General features: G+C 36.1%; 1 annotated feature.

Moving 5' to 3' along the window:
• Positions 5,521 to 6,197: an enhancer, noted in NCBI's record as "OCT4-NANOG hESC enhancer chr13:61455386-61456062 (GRCh37/hg19 assembly coordinates)". NCBI's record gives its function as "activates a minimal SCP1, AML or CMV promoter by ChIP-STARR-seq in naive and primed H9 embryonic stem cells {active_cell/tissue: H9 hESC(naive and primed)}" and the evidence as "EXISTENCE:reporter gene assay evidence [ECO:0000049][PMID:30033119]".

Here is an 8,461-nt window from a genome sequence, read left to right as displayed (position 1 = left end):
AATGTATTTATTTATCTATAAACTTCTAAAAGAGAAGATCAAGGCTTTCCAAGAGGTTGGTTTCACTCAACCTACTCAGCTTTATTTCTTTTTTAACTCCCAAAAGGGTGTTGCAGTGATGCATGCTTATTATGTTCTCTATTTGCCACACATCCACCCTGCCACTTTAATGTTCTCAGGTTGTTTCTACATACATGTGTCAGCACACATATACTCACATTCATATACACCTATACACATCCCACTCCCTTTTATTTTGTCCAAGTTCTATCCATTCTTCAAAATAACTATTAATTTTCAAATTTTTTCTGGTTGCTTTTAGCAAGTGTTCCATTTTAAATTTCAATCCTCCTTCTCAGAACATCTGGAATCTCCTTAAAGCTTAAAACTTCCTCTTTGGCCTCTTGTTTGTCCATTCCAAAAATATTTATTAAATGCCCACAATGCGTAAGGAAATATCGAAGATGCTTTGTATATAGAAATAAACAAAGTAAACATGATTTCTGCTTTAATGGAATTAACATTCTCGATTTAAGATTAGTGACTTAAAATAAGCCATTGATTATTTAAAATACAGCTGACCCTGCAGCATTTTCCTAAACAGGGTATTATGCATATGCAGCCACTTCATATATACAAAAGACTCCTATATTTAGGGATTATGTCAGTTGTTTTGTATTCTCTATACTTCCTAGTCCATAGGCAGTGTTCATAAAAGCTAGGTGAGTTAAAAAGAAAAAAGTATACACGGAGCTAAATTTAAGATGAAATAATTTTTTCTTTATTCCCATCTCTTTAAACTTCAAGAAAGATTAACAATATGAAAGGTTGTATTTGAATTCCAGGATTCAAAACAGTATTTCACATAGATCTTTAAACTTAAAAATAAAATGACTTTAAAGGCTAATATGTCCAATAGATGGTCATCTCTAGAGAATATAATCCTTCAGAGGTTTTCCAACACTTTATTAATATGCTTCTTCTGGGAACTTGCCTGTGATCCATTTTTTTTCTGGAGTCTTAGCAAAATACTTTTCAATGAATTATCCTTTGCAAGAGAATTATCTTTAAAACAATGCAGAGCTAACCAAACTAACAAAATAAACTTTATGTGCAAAAGGCATCTTTGAATAAATCATGATTTAAATGTCTGCAGTGTTATTGTTAAATAACCTAATAGTTGGGAACTGTGATTAGGATTGACATAAACATGTTTTATACCATGGGTTAGGGGTGTAAAAAATGTTAGATAATCTTAACCAATACTCCAGCTCATCAATCAAATAAAACTAGTCTTCAGTCATTGTTCTGAGTTGAGTTTTGTCCTGCTTTGACCCTACATTTTCAGAGCTGCCTTCTCCTAAGTCATTGTTGAAATGGAGAATATAATGCTCATGGCCTTGGGCAAATACTTCAAAATGATAATATCATTTGGTTCAATATATTAACTCCTTGTCAATTGTATAGAAAAGGAAGGAAAGTTAAGACAGTGTTGGAATATAACCAATGATAGCTTCAGGGTATTGAAACACACACATGCACATATATACACACACAGTCACATTCACATACACACATTCCCATTCTCAAAGGAGGAAATAAATGTTGGAAACAAACATGGCAAACAATGTACAGAGTATTACCCCAGTAGCACCCCTCATATATAATAACTTCATTATTTCTCAAATGATTATTTCAGTGCTCTTATTTTGTAAGCCATGATAAATTTCAAACATACTTTTAAAAAAAGAGACAATAACCCTCTCATTCTTAGTGTTCACATGTTACTAAAAAAAGACATGCACCTTCCTTTCCTCCCCCTCTTTTGTTATCAGATTCATGGCATTATCTCTGGGCCTGTTGCTCTCTGACATCTCCAGCACTTTGCAGGACCCAGTTTTTTGAGTTTGCCCTTCTCTTTGTCTCAGATAAGCCCACTTCTAAAGCCAAAAGGCAAATGATCAATTCATTTTGGCCCCCTTGTAACTAGGACTCAAACAGTATTTTTTCCCTAGCCAGCATGACTGTTCATGCATGCCTATCTTTTCTCCCCTGTGTTATTCATCCAGGCTTCTTAATGATTATTCTAAAGCACATAAGCTAAAGTATTTCAAAAGGCTCTAGAATGTAATAAAAAATATAATAGTAATCTTAGAGGAGAAAAAGTATTGAAAGAATGTGGGATCAACAAACAATCAATTCAGTATTATTCCTAATGTAGAGGTTCTCAGCTGTATTCTCATATTAGAGTCACCTGAGAATATTTTTTAAAACCCATGCCCAGGTCACACCCCAGAATGATACGTAAGTTTCCTAGAGGGTTCCAATATGCAGGCAGGGTAGACAATCACTGCAATAACCCAACAAGCAGATAACAACTCATATGAAAAAGCTGAAGGAAACCTCTGGTCTCTTATTGGAATGAGAGAGGTGCCAAATGCAAAAGCCAGGTGATCTGCCAACCTATTCTCAGTTAGGAGGAAGTCCTGGGGAGGAAAAGGAAAAGGATCTCACTTTTAGCGATTTATAGGTAAAATTCCAATGTTTGTTGTTATGGGTGGAATTGTGTCACCCCACTAAAAAAACATGTTCAAGTCATAACCCTCAGTACCTCAGAATGTAACCTCATTTGGAAATAAAGTGTCTACAGAGGAAATCAAATTAAAATGAAATCATTAGGGTAGGCCCTAATTCAATGTGACTGATGTCCTTATACAAAGGGGAAGTTTGTATATGCAGAGACAGACAAACTCACGAAGGAAAATGATGTGAAGACGTATAGGAAAAAGGTGGCCAGGGGACTAAAACGATGCATTTACAAGCAAAAAAATGCCAGTGATTGCAGCACACACTAGAAGCTAGAAGAGGCAAGGAAGGATTCTGCCTTAGAGCCATCAGAGAGAACATGGTCCTGCCAACACTTCAGTTTTAGACTTCAAGCCTTCAGAACTGTGACACGATAAATTTCTGTTGTTTTAACCTACCCAGTATTTGTTATTTTATTATAGCAGCCCCAGGAAACTAATATAGTTAAAAATGGGGATTATTGTGTTCTGACAAAGTTCACAGTGGTTGAAGGAAAACTATGCAAGGAGTAAGAGACACACAAAGCAACATTAAAGTCTGCACTCTAAGTAGTTGAGCTTGCTTGGCACAATGTTTATTAGTAACAGTCAATTAGTGATATATTTTTCTTTCCTTTGAAATGAATTGTCTAGTTATTGCTAATTGATGACAATGTACAACAATCAGCCCAGCTATTTTTCCTTTTAAAAATATTTTTTGCACCACTAATTAGATCAGCATGCATCTCACCTAAGACAGCTCAAAACACCAAAACAACTGGTTTTGATCTGATGCTTTTCACTGTAGACACAAACTTCATCCAGCATAAGCATCTTCAACATTTCTTCAGCAAATATGAACATTTCTCTTTTATTGTAGATGGAAAATAACTATTTTGGAAACAATCAAAAACAAAATCTAAGCACTGACAATATTGATGTAAGTGAGAAAGATAAAATCCAGCAATAGTTTGGTTCTTGGCTTGATTATTGAACTTTATTTCCATTATTGTAATATAAACATATGGGAGTATATATGTAAGTGAATACTTATGTATGTATTTCACAAACAGTTTTGCTTAATTTCCTATATAAAATACTAAAATTTAATATCTTAGAGAAATTATGCTATCATGACAAACTTAAAAATTAATCAACAGCTCCTGCTTTATTTCCTAAAATACTAACTTACTCTAACTTCTTATGATGGTTCAAAGTAATAGGCTCATTACTCTCAGCTAAGACACTTATTAATTTTATTGGCTCTGTAGCAGAGATGAAAATACCTGTTGATAACCTTCTCTTCACTCGTATAAGATTTATAACTGATATTTTAGTATTCAATCCTGATATTTACAGTATTCTGTATCTTGGCTGTAAGTTCTATGAGAACAAGAATCTAATAGAAGGCTGTGTGCAGAAGAGAAATTTAACAGTGTGTATTAGGAAAAGGATGAATTGAGCATGAGCCAAGAGGCCTGTGTTGGAAGCCGACATCTGCCACCCATGAGCTTTATTTCAAAAACATTACAACCTTCCTGAACTTTTGCTGTTTATTAAGAGAAAAAGTAGTAGTAATCAATAACAATAATGCAAAAGAGAACAAAGTCATCTATTAAAAAGTTGTCCTCTTTCTCTCTCTTTGCCTATGGTTGTTGTTGTTGTTATTATTATTATTATTTTCCTGGGCTCAAGTAATCCTCCAGCCTCAAGGCTTCCAAGTAGCTTGGACTACAGGCATGTGACTACCATGCCCAGTATAAAAACTAATATAAAACCCATTATAAAAACTAATATTTTTAGTTTTTGTTGTAGATATGGGGACTTTTTATGTTGCCCAAGCTAGTCTTGAATTCCTGGTGTCAAGTAATCCTCCTGCCTCAGCCTCCTAAAGCACTGGGATTAAAGGAATGAGCCACTGCACCTTCTGTCCTTTGCTTATTCTTTAAATGACAGTGATTCCAATGTGTCTGTCTGGTGGGCCTAGTGTGGTTCCATTCTCTTCTTAATCTAAAACATTCTTCCTATACAATTACATCAACTGCCAAAGTTCCCATCGTTCCCTCTAAGCTTCAATATCCAAATTTGTTGATTAAATGTATCAGTAAACAAAAATCATCTATATTGTCATCGTCACCTAGCAACAGGCCTACCTTCTGACAAATGCCTTCTTAGATGATTTTGTCATCATGAAAACCTCATAGAATGTACTTACACAAAACTAGATGGGATAGCCTACTACACATCTAGGCTATATGGTCTAGCCTATTGCTTCTAGGCTACAAACCTGCATAGCATGTTACTGTGCTGAATGCCGTAGGCAACTAATATAATGGTATTTGTGTATGTAAACATGTCTAAATATACAAAAGGGAATATGTTATGCTACAGCATTATAACAGCTATGACATCACTAGGTGACAGAAATTTTTCATCTCCACTATGCTCTTAGGGGACCACAGTCATCTCTGCATTTTAGTCATTGACTAAAATGTCATTATGTAGTGCATAACTGTGTTTCTCTCTCTCTTGAAAGCCATACCTGTGCATCGGACGTCCAATCACATACCCTCACTCAGCTCTCTCAGAGATAGTCAAAATTCATGAAGTCCAAAACATGTCTTTTCCCCAGTCACGCTTCTCTGCTCATGTCCTCTGTCTTTGTGACTGGCCCTTCTGAAAAGTAATCCCTCAATTAGCCAGGTCCATAGCTGAACTCATTGTGTGTGTCTGTATATGATCAATCGGGCTCTGCTGGAGACAACTGCATGAACTGAGATCACAATAATCATCTCCAACCTCAGCTAGCCCATCAGCTCTCTCTAGCATATGCCTCCTAAGGGGCATCAGTGGGTGCCAGGGTCAAATATATATAAGAAATGCTGCATTACACAAGGTTAAATAGGTTTCTCTACTGAAGGGGTTCTTGGTCTTTAAGAAACTAATGAGCACTGTGAATCTTTAGATTCACTCCCCAAAGTGTGGGGGAGATGTAATGTGCAGCATTTCCCGAACTTATTTGCCCATGCAACAATTTCCATAGAGCATCTCATAAAGAAAATGGTCATTAGCTGTGCTGTAGCAGAGCCAGGATATGCCCAGACTCTGCTGAAGCCAGCCCTGCAACTTTGGGCAGAGCTTCAGGGTCCTTGCTTCATCTTCCCCACAAGGAGCAATTTGGACTTCAGAAGGGTAACTTGCTTTACATTAAAATAGCTCTTAATAGCTTTTTGTCAAGCCAATTGAACCCAGCTATTTTCTTTTCAATACTATGAGCTATTGCCATCTCTATTTTACAAAGAGGCAAATAAAGTCCAGAGAGATCAAATATTTGTTCAGAGACCACAGCTATGAACTGACCAAGTTAAGGATTTAAATTTTGTCGTGTAATAAGCAGGTCAATATCCTTACCCACTCCCCGCCATTTAAAAATCCTGCAATTTAGGGTGGTTAACATGAAAGAAAGATGGGTAAATAAGAAACTATGGGAAAGATCATTCATTGGTACTGAGATAAAGTTAGTTTAAATCAGTGAGGAGTCAAAAACAACAGATGCTTTCAAAGAAATCCAGTTTGCTTTCTGCCATTTTAAGTATAATACTTACTTGTTTAAAAACAAGTTTTTAAATTATACTTGTATGGTTACATTAGCAAATTTATAATAAAAATGTTGACTATTTTATGCAGCCTTCCAAAGTTTATGAAAATTTAAAACTCTTCCCCTAGAATTAATGTATGTTACTAATTTTTTACAGACAGTTTTATCATGAAGTAAACTTCAACCCTGACTATATCTGTACAACAGTAATAATGATAATAACTATCTAGTAAAAAAAACTAGAATTATATTATTTATCTCTCAGAGCCAACACCTGAGGTAAGCTGTTATTATTACCCCATGTTACAGAATAGAACAGGGAGTCTTAGAGAATCTATATAATCTTACAAAGCCACAAGTTAGTACGCAGAGCTAGACTCAAACTTCTGACCCTCTAAGCTTCAGAAACCAATTCTTAACCATCATACTCCAGTGCTTCCTAAGTAAAAAAGACATAATAAATTTAAGACATAGCATTAGTAATTTAGGAAGAATACCTGAGGGTGGAACCTGTTACATAAGGTAAATATATAGCTATTCTGGCAAGAAATATTGAAATCAGATAGATTGGTGCATCTTAGAGATGGGTTGAACAAAACCTTCTGAAAGTGGAAGTGCTTCCCGAAAAAAGGTCAGGATCGTACCATCTCTCTGTTGACATAACAGAAGACATCACAAAGTCCACTCATCTAATAAGACAGTGTTTTATAAAGACTTGTCAGCTTCCATCTAGAATTGATCTGGAATTTGTTTCCTGGTTAGAAAACGGAAGCAAGGGAGTTTAAGATGATCCCAAGACTATGCAGGGGCTGCTACTGGGGTTGAAACTGCGTGTAATATGCCTGTCTTTCCTGCGTTCCTCTGGCCAAGACCTGTATATTTCACTGCTCAAAATTCCTTCAAATTCTGCTATTCTGTGATATCACCGGGAAAGTAAACTACCCCCTAGGTGTGAGGTAACAACTCTTCTAGGAGATAGATTACAGCTTCAGGCTCCCAAATTGCCAATTAGTGTACTGGAGATGAAATGTAATGTCCTGAAAGAGTTAGTGTTCCAAAGAGCCAAAAAGGTGTTTCTTATTCACCTTGAGGGCTGGCTGGTGGAAGTTACCTGTCTAAGAACCAGCATACCATTTTAAAATATGTATCCTGCGAGTAAAGCCAGGTTCATTCACCTTTGTCTAAATCATCAGCAAACCAACATATGAAAAATGAAATCAACTACAGTGTGTTTATGGGGAAAAGTGACATTATCTCAAGGAAACTAATTGGAAAACTTTTATTTTGTCTGAAAATTCCCTGAAGATATCATTTATCAAAGAATTTGTGTCCTGAGCTGTTATATATGATACTCTCCAAACAGTGAGCTGTTAATTCACTGCCTTATCTCCCTAAATCCACTAATCTTTTTTCTCATATTTTACTTTCTCCCGAATTGTGTAGTGAAATATGAGGCTGTAGAGGTTTCATGTACTGCAAAATACCCAGTGCTCTCGGAACATCCACTGATACATTTAGGGATCCCTCTAAACAATACTACTGTCATTCCCTATTCAAGTGAAACCTTCTCCCTGGGTTCATTTCCTTGTCCCTACTCTGTCCTTGACTTCACCTCTGCTGATCTCATCCCTACTTCATACCATGCCTTGTCACACACACACAGGTAAAGGGTATTTTTAAACCTGACTTCAAGGTGAGAAAATTCAAAGTATAATTAATTGCCACTAATGGAGATGGTTGCTGTAATGCCTGAGTTTTCAGGGGGGTTTATAATTTTTAAGGCTCCCAATTACTTACTATCAAGGTTGTTAGAGTCACGCCATAAAAGTCTCAAATGCCTTCACCTGATTGTGCTTACTAATCATTCAGCAAATATTTGTTGAAGAATTTCTATGTGCTGATATTAGAGATACAGCAGTGCTCAAGAGAACAATGGGCTTTCTCTCACAGATCTTCAGGATAAAATGGAGATACATACTACTAAACACACAATTTCAACATGGTGTTTTTAGTATTGTGATGAGGAAGATAAGAGGGTCAAGCATGCACCTTCTCCTTCCTGGATCCACCTTTTGTTGGTCCTTATGAGTCTTAACTGAATCCAGTGGTCTGCTACCTGGGGCAATATTCAGCATATTGAACTACTAGGTATCAGGACTGACTGAGCACTTAACATATATTACTTCATTTAATCATTCCAACAACACAATGAAGGTGTTATTACTATTTTAACAAATGAGAGAGCTGAGTCAAGAAAGTTTATACAACTTGCCCCAGAACTAACAGTTAGTAAATGGTA

The sequence above is a fragment of the Homo sapiens genome, chromosome 13 (genome assembly GCF_000001405.40).
Source record: "Homo sapiens chromosome 13, GRCh38.p14 Primary Assembly".
In the NCBI taxonomy this organism is placed as follows: Eukaryota; Metazoa; Chordata; class Mammalia; order Primates; family Hominidae; genus Homo; species Homo sapiens.
The sequence above is the reverse complement of the archived record's forward strand: the minus strand, read 5'-3'. Positions and strand labels throughout refer to the sequence as shown.